Below are 15,723 nucleotides of genomic sequence, written 5' to 3' on the forward strand. Positions count from 1 at the left end.
AGCTCCAGGTGTCGGGGATGCTGCTCTGAGGGGCTTTTGATGCAAGGTTGGTTTAAAGTTCAAAATCCAGAACAAGCTTCTTTGAGAAGTCCCCACTCTAGTAGGTTTCAGAGTGAATTCTTTCAATGGTGTTCTATTAAAATTCAAGGACATGGGTCTCATGAAGCATTAATGGGCAGGTCCTTTACACATTATACAGAAGGAATTGGCTCTAACATGATTTATGTCTTCCCATCTTATCCTAATTCTATATCCCCTTAAATATAGTAATAGGAAAGCCTGGGTCATATTTTTGTTTCCCTAACAGTGAGTGCTACTTTTTAATTAATAGTACTTCACTTGCATGTGTGTCTGATGGAAGCATCAGCTGATGGGGTTACCAAGTCATAACTGAGAAGCCCTTTCCACCTTAAGCCAGTGGCAAAGCTTGGCTGCACAATACAGTTGCCTGGGGAGCTTTGTAAAATCCCAATGTCCAGGCCACACTCCCAAACCAGTTAAAATAGAATCTAGTGGATGGGACTCAGGCATCAGTATTTTTTTTAAAGCTCCTCAGGGGATGCCACTGTGAAAGGTTGAGAGCCATTAATGTAAGTGGAGTTAAACAAAACTCTATAGCGCTGGTGGACATCCTACGTGATAGTTCATGTTAGAAAAAAACATTTCCCTGCCAGGAACCCCTTCTGCGTCTTCGTAGGGCTCCCGTGGTCCCAGTGGGGCCAAAATCTCAGGGTCCTTTCTGCCTTCCTTCCAGTGGTGTGCAAATGTTTAACAACCCACTCCCGGGAATGAAAAAAGCCCCGATGTGTAGCATGTGCTGATTTCCAGATTCCATAAATACTCCCACCATGGTCTCTTTCATCCTACCAAGCGGCCATCGCCCAGCATGGAGTTGGGAGATGTGCACAGCCAGCTCCAGACACCAGTGCCTCCTCAGCTTCACAGTTCCTCACCCCTCCTTTGTGTCCACCCCTGAGTAGCTCATTCTCCCTTAGGTGCTGTTCCAAGTTTCGAGTCATCTGGAAAAATAGTTTTCTGCTTGTGTGATATGCTGGCTTGTCCCGCTCAGGTAACATAACACAGTCTTCTCAGTGTAGATTACCTCTGGAAAACACCACGAGAATGTGCCTGAGGCTGGAGATGTTTAGGCAATTGGCATTGTGGTTATTCTTTTCCCTGTGAAGCTAAGGTGAGTTGTCCTAGATAGGGCACATGAGGTTTCTGAGCCTGCAGGGTGGAAAGCCAGGCTGTGAGTCAGGACACACTCACCAAGGTAACAAAGGGGCTTCAGGGGAGGCAGCCTCCTAGCCTTCGCGTGTTGATCGCCTCCACCTCATCACTTCTCTTTCCACCACATTACAGAGCATTTTCACGTGACCTACCTTCCTTCCTTTCTTCCTTTCTTTCTCTTTTTTCTCTTTCTTTTCTTTCTTTCTTTCTCTTCCTTTCTTTTTCTTTCTTTCTTCTTTCTTTTTCTTCTCTCTCTCTCTCCTTCCTCCCTTCCTCCCTCCTTCCTTTCTCTCTTTCTTTCTCTTTCTTTTCTTTCTTTCTTTCTTTCTTTCTTTCTTTCTTTCTTTCTTTTTCTTTCTTTCTTTCTCTCTTTTTCTTTCTTTCTTCTCTCTCCTTCCTCCCTCCCTCTCTCTCTTTCTTTCTCTTTCTTCTCTCTCTCTCCTTCCTCCCTTCCTCCCTCCCTCCTTTCTCTCTTTCTCTTTCTTTCCTTCATCTATCTCCTTCCTCCCTTCCTCCTTCCCTCCCTTTCTATTTTCTTTCTTTTTCTTTCTTCTCTCTCTCCTTCCTCCCTCCCTCCTTTTCTCTCTTTCTCTCTTTCTTTCTTTCTCTCTTTCTTTCTTTCTTTTCTTTCTTTCTTCTGTCTCTCTCCTCCCTCCCTCCCTCCCTTTCTCTCTTTCTTTCTTTTCTTCTCTCTCTCTCTTTCTTTCTGTCTTTCTTTCATTCTTTCCTCTTTTTTGATGGAGTCTTGCTCTCTTGCCCAGGCTGGAGCGCAGTGGTGCATTCTCGGCTCACCGCAACCTCCGCCTCCCAGGTTGAAGCAGTTCTGCCTCAGCCTCCCAAGTAGTTGGGATTACAGACACCTGCCACCACACCTGGCTAATTTTTGTATTTTTGGTAGAGATGCGGTTTCGCCATGTTGGCCAGGCTGGTGTTAAACTCCTGACCTCAGGTGATCCACCTGCCTTGGCCTCCCAAAGTGTTGGGATTATTGGCGTGAGCCACCATGCCTGGCCTCACATAACTTTTCTCACTGGATTGCTGCAGTTTACCTAGGAAGGCCAAGCAAATACTGTCTTCCAGCTGCAGGTGAAGAATCCTGCCTAAGCTCAGAGAGGTCAAGTGGAGTGACTCACCCAAGTTTGAGCAACTTGCTAGAAGGTGATGGAGCCAGGCCTTGAAGCCAGAGCTTCTGACTCCATCCTTACACATACATGGCTCCTGACACACAGCCTTGGTCTACTGGTCACCTTCACCCAGGCATGGGGCCAGTCAACTTTGGTAGAGGAGGAAGTGAAATAAAAAGTAACCCTGCTTTGCAGTCTTTTGAATTATTAGGTTGGTGCAAAAGTAGTCGTGGTTTTTGCCATTAAAAGCCTAATAATTCTTTGCCAGTCCTGCTTTGGAAAGCTGTTTTCTGAAATGAAACATGGGCTTTGTGTCTAATAAAGAACACGTTCCAAGTTGGTCAATATTAAGTTGGGGGTGTAATATGAATGGCTCATGCAGTATGAATGGCTGACAAGCTGTGATTCTACAGAGTCAGAAACAACCTCTGTTGAGATTGCATCGAATCCAGAAGACACCTGGGACTCTAAGACATGGCTGCAGAAATATGGCTTGAAGGCCCAGAAGCTATCCTTGTATGATGTGCTTGCCGACTGCTCTTTCCGCCACGCTGATGGGGTTGTGGATATAAAAGCCAAACCGGAGAATGAGTCCGTGCAGACCAGTGCGGTAGGTGAAGTGCACTCCTGGGAGGGGCTGGGGCCTCCCCTCAAGTCCTGGGTGGGTGAGGCCTCCATCGGGTCAGAAGGCAGGGGAAGGGGCAGCAGGGAGAGAAACCAGCTTGGGTTTCTGTGAAGAACAGGGTTCCTCTGTTTCCCTCCTCACCCTTCTCCAAAGGGCATCTGTGGGAGTGGAGATCAAGGCTGGGAATGAGTTCTAGACATCAGTGAGTTGTACATAAGCCAGGGGCTGGGTTTGGAGAAATCAGGCATTATGAGTTTCAGAATTATTCAACATTATGCAAATAGAGAAGCCCTTTGTTCCCCCATATTGAATGGAAAAGAGAAATTGCTGGTGAGTATGCCCAGCGCAGCAGGCGTTTCTGTGGTCCTCTTGTATTTTCCCTCATTATTCCAGTGACTAGCAGCCAGCATACAGCGCAATCCCAGCAAATAAGGAGTCAGATCCTCCAAAGGGCTATAACCATTAAAAACTTTGAAAGCTGCAGTTCTATTGTGGGTTTTGTAGGAATACAGCTTCTCCTAGTGCCTGACTCTGGCTCCCAATGAAGGACAGTGCTCGACAGCAGTGCTGCCTTAACTCCAGCATCATGCATATGAGTCAGTAGGTCCGAAATGTGGCTCAAGAATTTGCATCCATAACAACCCCCAGATGATGCTAACACTGCTGGTCCAGGGGCCACACCTTGAGAAGCAGAGAGGTGTAGAACAGGAACCAGAAGACAAGGTGTCAAAGGTTTAGAAGCATGGAAAGACTAAGAAGTGTCCCAATGTGAAATAGAAATCAGGATAAAATGAACATGGCAGATTTGCAAAACCAAAGGCAGGCTCTTTCAGGAGGTGGCAAAGTTCCAGGTACATGCTGTGAAGTGAACCTAAAATGCAAGCCCAGGGCAGACAGGCAGGTGACAGGCGGGTGACCGCAGCCCAGAGGAGACACCTGGGAAAGAAAATCAAGGCCCCCCCCTCAAATGCAGTGTCACCTCATGTATTCTTGAAGGCTCCGATTCAAAGTCAGGGTCATTACTGAGATGTTGTAACTCCAGCAGAGGGGGAACTCCAGTCCTGTTGCCACTTGTTATTAGGCTGGCCGGCCACTGAGCCCTACATGCCCTCCATGGAAAGGGCACTGTCCGTCGGGGCTATGTGAGCCACACCATGTTATGTTCTTGCCCCCTCACTGCTGTGCATTTATGACAAACTGCAAGGAAGAAAATATAAAAACTGAATTAGAAAAATGCAGAATTGATGCACGACTTGTTTCCTGGCTTACCCTAGGATGCAGGGTAATTGCTACAGCGCAGGGAAAATCTCATTTGTGGGTTTCCTCCCCCAGCACAGTTTTCTGGTTTTGTAGACATTATTCTGTAATGTTCAGGAAATCACACATAACTAAATTTTCATTTTAAAAATAGGCCAGGCATGGTGGCTTACGTCTGTAATCCCAGCACTTTGGGAGGCCAAGGCGGGCAGATCACTTGAGGTCAGGAGTTCGTGACCAGCCTGGCCAACATGGTGAAACCCCATCTCTACTAAAAATACAAAAATTAGCCAGGCATGGTGGCACGTGCCTGTAATCCCAGCTACTTGGGAGGCTGAGGCAGAACCCGAGAGGTGGAGCTTGCAGTGAGCCAAGATTGCGCCATTGCACTCCAGCCTGGGCGGCAGAGGGAGACTTTGTCTCAAAATAAAATAAAATAAAAAATACATTAGATTCTGGATATTTCAAAATATTAATCCCCATCAATTTGAACATAGCTTACTGCAAACTGACAACAATGTAGTATATTCAAGCTAGCTCTAATACTGATCATCTCCTAACTCATTCTTGTCAATTTTAAATGAAATTTTACAGGATCACTTTGAATAATTTGGCTTACAAGAGGGAATTTTACCTCAATTTTTTTGTGCTAGTCAACTGTATTATGGTAAAGATTGAGAATTATTAATATATAGTACAGCTCCCTTTTTTTTTTTTTTTTTTTTTACAAATACTGATGAGAAAGGGACAGTTTTATTTTTAGTCTTTGGGACTACATACTGAAACTGGATTCACACCTAAAATTGTGATGTGTATAAAGTAGGAAGAAACTAAGGCTGTGAAATAGGTAGATTATTTAGGGTTCCCCCAGACTCCCACTGGGCAAGACCCCCTAAATATTTAACAATAAAAACTAGTTTATAGGAACAGACCCAGGAAACTCGTTAACACAGAAATGAATGGCTAAAAAGGCCTTATTATGTAGCAGTTCAAAGATGATGAACAACTGGGAGGAGGAGACAAACATGCATTTCTAATAAGGGAATTTCAGGCCAAGCCTAAGAACTTGATATTTCAGGCATCCCTGAAATCACACTGCATGCACGGTTGCTTGAGCTCATGCACAAAACCAGGCCTGATGTTCAAAAACCCATTCTTGTCTCTTTGTCTATTTTTCAAACAAATATTTATGGAGCCCCTGCTATGTACCAGTTCATGTGATATGGCGGAAGGCACACTGGATACGGAACGAGAAGTTCTAGGTATAAATGCTGCTTCTAGTAGTTACTGATGATGAGATGTTGAACAAATCATGTGACTTCTTTGAGCTTCACCCTTCATATTTGTGAAATGGGTAGTGTAAAGTGCAAATTTACAAATGCATGTCTGAGCACAGTGCCCGGCACATAGGAGATGCCCCACAGATGTTGCCTTCCTTTTTTTCTGCACTACAAACATTGTGAGTCAGAATTGAGCATTTATGGAACGCTTCTATGCTTTATATTCAAGGTAAACATTTGTGCTCTCAGTTTACACAGGAGAAAACAGTCGCGGGACCTGTGAGAGGTTAGGTAACTCGCTTGAGATTGATCTTGTGGCAGTTGGAGGCAGGGTTTGAACTTGGGTCCACTGGGCTTTCACACTGTGCTTTTCCCATTCTGACACGCTGCTGCCTGACACAGAACCTGCCTCTCTGTGGTGTATGGTCTGGTGGTTTTCCATTTGGCTGTGCATGAGGCACACTCGGGAAATGCCCTTTGATGGGGATGTGGTGAACATGAGAGACAAGACACCTTTCTCCTTCCATCCTTGCAGGGCAGCGGAGGTGTCCACCTCTGCCTGCCTTGGGAGCATAGGACAGATCTCATCATGCCCTTCAACCTCTTTCCGCCTTTTCTGGCTTATCTCCATGCAGTTAACTGTACTGGCAGAAACTGGAGGAAAACAGCCACAATGCAATGCCTGGTTTCACTGTAAATTCATGCCCGCTCATGTCAGTGGATCTTTTGAGCTGCCCAGTAGTCTACTGAGTCCACTCGTTCTCACCAGTCACCACTGGACTCAGGAATTCTCATTGCCATGCGGCTCTGAACATCCCTTTTCTGACCCCACTCCACCCTCTCTGACTCCTAAAATCCCCCCACCCCGCCCTCTGGGCGCATCATCAGCAAACCCTGATTGCTTCCAGGCCTCTGAAACGTTCCCATTGGATGCTTACCGGGGCTCCTCTCTGAGAAGCCCTCCCTGCAGCCCTCTGGAGTGGGGGCTGGTTTCTCTCCCATTCCCTTTGGACCTGTGGACCTGGGGTGGGTGGTGGCCTCCTTGCTCCTGTTTTCTGGTTCTTGACCTTCTCTCTCCTTCTTCCCACGTCATCAGACTGTGTCACTGAAGACATCTCTTGTGGTTGTCACTTACTAAGCTCACCCTCGTCAGTCCTCGAAGATTATGGGGCTTCTCTCTTGCTTTCATTGGCTCCAACACCTGCTTTAGTTCATAGTGACTTCAGTCCCATATGGAGGACCCTTCCAATACCCCAACCTCTCATTTCTTTTACCTTCTCTTTCCCAGTGACTTCCTCCCCAACTCCATCTCTACCACTCCTGCCTTAGGCATGCCCTCAGCCTTGTCATTACAAATAACTGTGTAATCATAAGCCACATCCTCAGTTCCAAACTGTCTGACCAGCCCCCCTGTCTGACCAAGTCATCTGTAGGTTGTTTATTCTCTTGCGCTATTCCCACCCATCTGTCTCCTCCACCAGGATATAAAAGTTACTGTTTCTACCACCTCCTCTCTGTCCTCTCTATCCTCCCATGCATCCTCAACCATTTTTCCCTTCTCTTAAACTATTGCACTCACCTGGCAAAACCCCAGATTTAACCCTGGCTAATGCCAACTTTCCGTCTTTTCTGGCTTATCTCCGTGCAGTTAACTGTACTGGCAGAAACTGGAGAAAAACAGCCACGATATATAATGCCTGGTTTCACTGTAAATTCACGCCCACTAATGTCAGTGGATATTTTGTGCTGCCTAGCAGTCCACTCAGCCCCTCACTGGCTGTCCTCTCCTCCTGAAACACCTAGCACCTTCCGCTCCACGCTCACTCCACTCACTCTCTGCAGGTGAGCTTGCTTCCTGTGTTGTGAACATCGACGGGAATGTCATGAGCTTCTGCCTCCACATCTCAGCCCCCAGTGTCTGCCATCTACCTTTATTTCTCCCAGGCCGAATTGTCCTTGTCCTGTCTAAGGCCATTCACTGCACAGATACATGGCTGTCTCTCCACTCGTTTATTCACTCTCCCTTTCTACATCACAGCCTCCTGTTGCCCTTGTTTCCAGATAATTCGCATCAGCACACACACATTCTGCCATTTCTCCCATCTTAAAAAGTTTTTTGATCCCATATGTACCTCTGGCTGTGCCCCCACGCCTCTGCTCCTCTTAGAATTCAATTCCTCAGTCGAGTTGTATACGTTTCCTTTCTCTGCTTCTTCAATTCTCCTCCCATGCTCCTGGGAGCTGCTGTCATCAGGCAGAAACTCCCCCACTTCCACCTCTCCACCAAAACCCACGTTTTGCAGGGATCTCTGAATTGCTAAATCCAGGGGTCCATTCTCAGTCTCTTTCTTACTTGACCTTTAGTAAGTTGATCTAGTTGGTCACTTCCTTGAATTTTTTTTTTTTTTTTTTGCAGAATATACACTGCTGGTTATCCTCCCACCTCGCTGGCTGTTCCTCTCTCAGTCTTCTTTGTGACTTCTCCTTGTCCTTAACCTGTCAATGCCGAAGCACCTCGAGGTGCAGTGCTCTGATCGCTTCTCTGTCTACACTCATTTCCTGGGTGGTCTCCTCCAGTCCCATGGCTTTTAATCCCCTGTGCATGCCGGCCGGCGCCTTCAAAATGTACCCCTCCAGCCCCGCGGCCTACCCTGATCTCCCGACTACTGCCGTGCTACCTGGATGTCTAATAGGCACCTTGAACCTGATACATCAGATGGTAAATCTCGATCTTTCCCATTCAAAGCTGCTCTTCCACAACCTTCCTCCTATCAATTGATTGCAACTCCACCCTTTCCCGTCCCGGCCTGAAAACCTCAGGGTCATTCCTGACTCCTCTCTTTTCTCACATACACACATCTGATCTCTCGGTGAACGCTGTCGGTTCTGTTTTCAGAACGTGCCTGTCATTCAGGATCTGGCCACTTCTTACCATGGTCTTGGCTGCCCGGGGCCATGCAACTCCATGACCTTCTGGCTCTTTGCTTCTGCCCTTGGTCCTCGGCCGTCCAGTCTGCTTTACAGAGTAACCACTGTAAAGCTGTGAAACCCTAAATCAGACATGTTGCTGCTCTCGTGAAAGCCCTGGGAAGAGTCCTTTTTCACTCAGAGCAAAAGCCAGCTCATTTCCGACAGCTGTCAGGCTTTACGGGACCTGCTCCTGGCCCTCCTCTTCGTGTGTCCCGGCTTCTCTCACTCTCTCTTCCCTCTCTCTCTTTCCTTTGGCAATATTGGCCTTCCTAAAATTCGACAAGCATGCCAGGTGGACTCCCAGCTCAGGCCTTTGCTCTCGCTGCATCCTCTGACCTCCTCCCAGCCTCGCTATGGCCACACTCTGTTCCGCCAGGCCTTCTCTCCTAGCTCACTGTCTCTGGGAGGCTTTCCCTGCGAGGTTCTAACTTGTCCGGTCTCTCCCCTCTTTCTCTGCTCTCTGCTCTTCCTCCTTGCCTTCCTCCACGTGTCATCCTCTGACCTGATGTGTCATGATTTGCTTATTACTGGGCTCCCCTCCTGCACTGTGAGCTCCATGAAGGCAGGGGTTTGGTCATTGTGTGTGTTTGTATTCCTGGTGTCTTAGAAGGTCTCCTAAGAGGAGGAGCGCCGGTTGAGTGCCTGTGGGCCAAGTCATGGAGGTCCACTGAGGAGGGCTCGCTCCGTCTGTCTCAGTGGAGGGCGCTAGATGTGCAGTGGGGTTCTTGGTGGGAAAAGAGGATTCATGAGAATCTCAGTCCTGCCTCCTCCAGAATGGTCTCGCTGGCCGTCTAGTCCACTGTCGCTCTCTCTTCTTTACCAGGACTTTCCAGGTCCTTACTGTCTCAACCCAGTGCCAGGGACTGAGTATCTAATTCTCCACATTGCTATGTCTCTCTCTCTCTCCCTCTCCCTCTCCGTCTCTGTGTCTGTGTGTGTGTGTGTGTGTGTGTGTGTGTGTGTGTGTGTCGGTTGGGGGTGTCTCTATGCTGGAATCATTAGCTTTTCTGGGGCACACATGTGATCTCCTGTATCTTTCTGGCCTATGTTCATGACATCTAGTGCAGGGCTCCATAGGAAGCGGGCAGCGGAACATATTTGGTTGAACTAACAAAGGAATGATTGACGGTAGAGTGGAGTGCTAGGAGCCACTTGAATACGACAGAGCTTAAGGTGCCATCTGGAGGCTCTTCTCTTTGGACAGTTTCTGAGTGGCTTCTGTCCTTTGTCATCTCCTTAGGAGACGAACAAGAAGACAGTCCATGCAAAATATTGCAGCAGGTTTGTCCATGCTCCCTGGAAGGATGGGAGCTTGGTCCACGTCAACATTACCAAAGAGAAGTGCAAGTGGTACAGTGAGAGAATCCACACAGCCCTGGCCCGGATCCGAAGGAGGTTGGTGTTATTTGCAGGAAGTTACAAGTGGTCTCCTCGCTCTGGACATTCTCATCTGCTTGATCTTTTTTCCTCCCTTTTATTTTTAGTTGACACATAATGATTGTACCTATTTATGTGATACAGAGTGATATTTAGGTGTGTGTATACAATGTACAAAGATCAAATCAGGGTAACTCACATATCCATCACCTCAAACACACGTCGTTTCTGTATGTTGTGAACATTCAAAATTCTCTCATTTAGCTTTTTAAAAATATACATAAATTATAGCTGACCATATTGACCCTCCAGAGCTGCAGAATACCAGAGCTTGTTCCTCCTATCTAGCTAAACTTTTGTATTCGCTAACCAACCTCCCTATCCTCTCTCCCTACCTTTCTCAGTCTCTAATACAGTTCTACTCACTACCTCTATCTGCTCAGATATTTTTAGCTCCCACATATGAATGAGAACATGTGGTATTTATCTTTCTGTGTCTGACTTAATTTGCTTAACATAATGTCCTGTAGGCTCATCCATGCTGCTGCGAATGACAGAATTTTATTCTTTTGTATGGTTTAGTAGTACTCCATGGTGTATATATACCAGTAAAAGCTCAACTGAGACAAAGGGCCAACAAAACATTGTTAAGTCAAGGTTGCCATCTGATGGTTTGCTGATAGCCTTGTTAAAAAAAAGGTGGGGGTTGTTTGGATTCAGATCCCAGCTGCCTTGATGCCAGTGCAGTTTATTGAAAACAGCAAGCCAACGTGTGGCTATCACACTGGTCACACCTTGTGGTAGGAGGCTAAGGAATGCTTCTGTTTCATACCTCACATTCTTTTCTAGGCCACACGTGTATTGCCCAATGTGTTATACCTTTCTTCTGTACTCTTTAGCTGCCTCTCACAGATTTTGATATATTGTATTTCATTTTCAATCATTTCAGAATATTTTCTAATTTTCCCCATCATTTCTTCTTTGACTAAAGGGTTATTTAGAAATGTGCTGTTTAGGCTGGGCGCAGTGATTCACGCCTGTAATCCCAGCACCTTGGGAGGCCAAGGGGGTGGATCATGAGGTCAGGAGTTCGAGACCAGCCTGGCCAACATAGTGAAACCCTGTCTCTACTAAAGATTCAAAAAATTAGCTAGGCATGGTGGCGGGCACCTGTAGTCCCAGCCGTTCGGGAGGCTGAGGCAGGAGAATCGCTTGAACCCGGGAGGCGGAGCTTGCAGATCGCACTACTGCACTCCAGCCTAGGTGACAGTGCGATTGTGTTGTTTACTTCCCAAATATTTGTGGATTTTCCTGATAGCTTTTGTTACTGATTTCTGTTTTAATTTCACTGTAAACAGAGAAATACTGTGTGATTCAATTCTTATAATTTTATTGGGACCTGTTTTGTAGTACAGATTTTGGAAAAAAAAAATATGGTTTTGTTGGGTGGAGTATACTACAGGTATCAATTAGCTCAAGTTGGTTGAGAGTGTCATTCAAGTCTTTCATATTATTACTGATTTTCTCTAGTTGTTCTATAAATTATTGAGAAAAGAGTGTTGAAATCTCCAACTGTAGTCTTTAATTCTCATTTCAGTTCTGTTTTTTCTTCATGTATTTTGAGGCTCTATTAATAGTTGCATGTACATTTAAGATTGTTATGTTCTCTCGATGAACCAACTTTTTTGTAATTATGAAATGTCCCTTTTATATGTCTGGTAATATTCCTTGCTCTGAAATTTACTTTGATAGCAGTTTAACCGCCCTACATTATTTTTATTATTCTTTTTTTCTATCATTTCATCTTTACTTGTCTGCATCCTGTATTTAAATGGATTTCTTACAGACACAAGATATATAATTATATATGAGCATTGTTTTATTAATCCAACCTAACAATCTTTGGCTTTTAATTGGAGTGTTAAAATCATTTACATTTAATGTGATTATTGATTTGATTGGATTTAAATCTAAGATTTTGCTATTTGTTTTCTGTTCCCTTTTTACTGGTTTTTTGCCTTCTTTTGTTTGAGTATTTTTTATTATTACATTTTATCTCCACTATTGTCTTATTAGCTCTACCTCTTTGTTGTGTTTTGATGTGTGTGTGTGGCTATTTAGGATTTACAATATTTATCTTATCAGTCACCCTACAAATAATATTATATCACTTCATGTATATTACAGGAATCTTACAACTTTCACTCCCACTTACGCCCTTTCTATTGTTGTGCACTTCTGTGCATGCATTACACAATACATTCTAAACAGTCAATTGTCTTGTAACTAGATTAGAAACTAGAGTAGATGTATTTTATATTTAACCACATACTTGATATCTCTGTTGCTTTTTATTCCTTTGTATGCATCCACATTTCCATTTGGTATCATTTTTTTTCCACCTGAAGAAGTTTCATTCATATTTCTGGTAGTGCAGGTCTATTGGTGATGAATGAGCTGTTTCAGTCTGAAAAACTCTTTAATTTACCTTTATTTTCGAATGATGTGTTGGCTAAGCATAGAATTCTGGTTTTACAGTTCTGTCTTTCAGTACTTTGAAAATCCTTCTCCATTGTCTCCTGGTTTGCATGATTTATGATAAGAAGTCTCCTGTCATATTTTTGTTTGCTCCTCTACACATAATGACTTTGATGCTTTTTAAAATTTCTCTGTTTCTAGATTTTATCAATTTTATTGTGATATACCTGGGTGTAGTTTTCTTTATTTTTCTTCTTCTTGGGTTCTTTGAGCTTCTTGGATCTGTAGGTGCACTGTTTCAATCAAAATTAAAACATTGTGGTCATATTTTCTCAAATATTTTTTCTGCCTCCCCCTCTCTTCTCCTTCTTCTACTTTGATTACACATATGTTAGACTCCTTGATATTGTTCCATGGGCCACTAATTATCTCTGATGAAAATGCTTTTGTCTTTTTTCTCTCTGAGTTAACTTTAAATTGTTTCCTTTGCTTTGTCTTTTGTTCCCTAATCTTTTCTTCTCCTAATGTCTAATGTACTATTAATACCATGCAGTGTATTTTAAATTTCAGATATTGTATCTCTCTACAAGTTTTATTTGGGTCTATTTAAATATCTTCCATTTCTCTCCTCATTCTGTTTATACTTTACCTTTTTGACCATATGGGTTATATTTGCAATAGCTGTGTAACATCCTTTTCCACTAATTCTATCATCTGTGTCATTTTGGGATCTGTTTCTGTTGATCAGTTTTTCTTCTGGTTTGGATCGTATTTTCCTGCTTCTTTGTATGCCTGGTAATTTTTTACTGGATGCCAGGCATTTTAACTTTACATTATCAGGTACTAGATTTCATTGTATTTTTATATATGTTCTTGATACAGTCAAGTTACTTGAAACCAGTTTGATCTCTCTAGGAATTGCTTTTCAGTTATGTTAGAATAGATCTAGGGTCGCCTTTAGCCCAGGGCTAATTTGGTCCTGCTACCGAGGCAATACTCTTTCAAGAACGCTACTTGTTGCCCCATATATTAAGGAGATTTTCCTACTCTGGCTGGTAGATGAACTACTCCTAGCCATGTGTGAGCCCTGAGGGGTTGATCAGCCTACTCCTTTGGTGATTTCTTCCTTGGCTTCAGTAGTTTCTTCACATGCATGCCTTGATCATTATTTAGCCAAAATTTCGAGGACACCCTTCTGCAGATCTCTGGAGCATGCTCTCTCTCCCTTTCTCCTGTGCAGTAGTGTCCTTTCAATATTTTGCCATTCAAATTTTAGTTTCTTAGGCTTTGCTGAACTCTGAGCTCAATTCAAATATTTTTTCCATACTCTTTCCTTACCTCCACCCCCCAGGCTTTGCTTGCAGCTACGAATTTCATTTATTTATATCCTGTGATGGGAACCTGATCATGGACCACAGACGCAGTCCTTCTCACACAGCCACCAGGGCCTTGGTTATTACAGAGCTCTGGGGCTGCTTGATGCTGTCCATAAGTTTCATTGAAGCTTCAGGAATGTGCTGGCTTCACTAGCTTGACGGCAGTCAGCCAGATTAGAAGAACAAATAGTCTGAAATCATAGCTGAGGTCCTCAAAATATCAGATGACTAGAAGTAATTTATTTTTGACTTTGGCACCTTTCATGTGCGTCCGTGTGAAGAGACCACCAAACAGGCTTTGTGTGAGCAATAAAGCTTTTAATCACCTGGGTGCAGGCGGGCTGAGTCTGAAAAGAGAGTCAGCAAAGGGAGATAAGGTTGGGGGCGTTTTATAGGATTTGGGTAGATAAAGGAAAATTACAGTCAAAGGGGGTTGTTCTCTGGCGGGCAGAGTGGGGGTCACAAGGTGCTCAGTAGGGGAGCTTTTGAGCCAGGATGAGCCAGGAGAAGAAATTTCACAAGACAACGTCATCAGTTAAGGCAGGAACAGGCCATTTTCACTTCTTTTGTGGTGGAATGTCATCAGTTAAGGCAGGAACCAGCCATCTGGATGTGTATGTGTAGGTCACAGGGGATATGATGGCTTAGCTTGGGCCCAGAGGCCTGACAGCACCCACAATGGATTTATTTTTCTGTCATACTGATTTTCTTAGTTTTGTTTTACTTGGCTTGATGGTGGGTAGTGCATCCTACAGCCCAAATGTAGGATTTTCTACAGAAAAACCTCAAAGCGAATGATCTACTCACAGAAGATTGGGTATAAACAACATAGCGCAGCTCTGTCCTCTGCAGATGCATCGTTAAGTTCTTGGGAAGATGCTCTTGTTGCCTGCAGGCTCTCACCATTCACTTTCAACCTACTTCCTGCCTAGGATTAAATGGCTACAGGATGGGAGTCAAAGCCTCTTTGGAAGATTGCATAATGATTGCATCTACATTCTCATTGACACGTCTCACTCAATGAAGAGCAAACTGGACTTGGTGAAGGACAAGATCATTCAGTTCATACAGGTTAGATGGAACTGTCGGTTCATGCATTTGGGGCTTTGTGTATCAGATGGTTATGAGCAGTGGATAGGGGCTTGTTGCTCTAAAAAATTCCTAAGAAAGCCAAATTCAGAGAAGTACTCCCTTTTGTTAGTTAAAGAATCATCAGTTCTCTTTTGCAAATAGACCCTTTCTCTGGTGGATTCTTTCTGTCACACATGAGTTGCTTAAGGGAGTTGCTATGTTCATTGTTTCAGATTTTCTCTGTCCTGAAATCTTTGGTATACACACACTTCCATTGTCTTCCAGAAACTCCTCATCTTAGCATTTTTAATTTCAAATGTTTATTGGGGATGCTGTGTACCCTGGTGCATGGGAGGCGTGCAGGCTGGTGTTTAGAAGCTCCCAGTTCTTATTCTGCCTGTGCTGCCTCTGAGCTGTGTGAACTGAAGCAGGTTGCCCAAGTGCCCTAAATCCTAGTGTCCACACCTGTCAAATGACATCACAGTAATGTGAGTTTGTAGTATTGATGTATTATTAACCATAGAAATAATAGCGGGGAGTGTTTGAGAAATACAAAATGCACTTTTTTTTTTTTTTTGAGATGGAGTCTCACTGTGTCGTCCAGTCTGGAGTGCAGTGGTGCCAACCCGGCTCACTGCAAGCTCCGCCTCCCGGGTTCACGCCATTCTCCTGTCTCCCAAGTAGCTGGGACTACAGGCGCCTGCCACCACGCCCGGCTAATTTTTGTATTTTTAGTAGAGACGGGGTTTCACCGTGTTAGCCAAGATGGTCTCGATCTCCTGACCTCGTGATCCGCCCGCCTCGGCCTCCCAAAGTGCTGGGACTACAGGCGTGAGCCACCGTGCCCAGCCAAAATGCACTTTTTAATTTAACAAAGCTCTACTGGAGAAATATGAACAAGTGTATAAAGTTGTAACTGAATAATGGCTTTACCT

The 15,723-nt window shown here is 44.4% G+C and overlaps 1 protein-coding gene across 20 annotated transcripts in view, besides 2 other annotated features; it reads left to right on the forward strand.

Annotated features, from left to right (window-relative positions):
- Window positions 1-15,723, forward strand: part of VWA3B (von Willebrand factor A domain containing 3B) — a 243,450-nt gene that overhangs the window by 91,082 nt on the left and 136,645 nt on the right. For 16 of the 20 annotated variants that reach the window (XR_922885.4, XR_922884.2, NM_144992.5 and 13 more), the window contains 3 exons: window positions 2,768-2,964; window positions 9,727-9,881; window positions 14,650-14,788. Coding sequence is in view for 15 of the 20 variants with exons in the window: in NM_144992.5 (NP_659429.4) it covers window positions 2,768-2,964; window positions 9,727-9,881; window positions 14,650-14,788 (491 nt within the window). In the remaining 5 variants the exon portion in view is untranslated. Of the gene's footprint in view, window positions 1-995; window positions 1,070-2,767; window positions 2,965-9,726; window positions 9,882-14,649; window positions 14,789-15,723 lie in introns of those variants that run through there. The other 4 variants (NR_144296.2, NR_144298.2, NR_144297.2 and 1 more) reach the window with 3 other exon arrangements.
- Window positions 13,932-14,487: an enhancer, noted in NCBI's record as "NANOG hESC enhancer chr2:98808643-98809198 (GRCh37/hg19 assembly coordinates)". NCBI's record gives its function as "activates a minimal SCP1, AML or CMV promoter by ChIP-STARR-seq in primed H9 embryonic stem cells {active_cell/tissue: H9 hESC(primed)}" and the evidence as "EXISTENCE:reporter gene assay evidence [ECO:0000049][PMID:30033119]".
- Window positions 15,331-15,528: a silencer, noted in NCBI's record as "fragment chr2:98810042-98810239 (GRCh37/hg19 assembly coordinates)". NCBI's record gives its function as "represses an EF-1alpha promoter that drives an FKBP-Casp9 reporter gene in an ReSE screen in K562 erythroleukemia cells {active_cell/tissue: K562}" and the evidence as "EXISTENCE:reporter gene assay evidence [ECO:0000049][PMID:32094911]".

This window comes from Homo sapiens, chromosome 2 (assembly GCF_000001405.40).
Source record: "Homo sapiens chromosome 2, GRCh38.p14 Primary Assembly".
Lineage (NCBI taxonomy): Eukaryota > Metazoa > Chordata > Mammalia > Primates > Hominidae > Homo > Homo sapiens.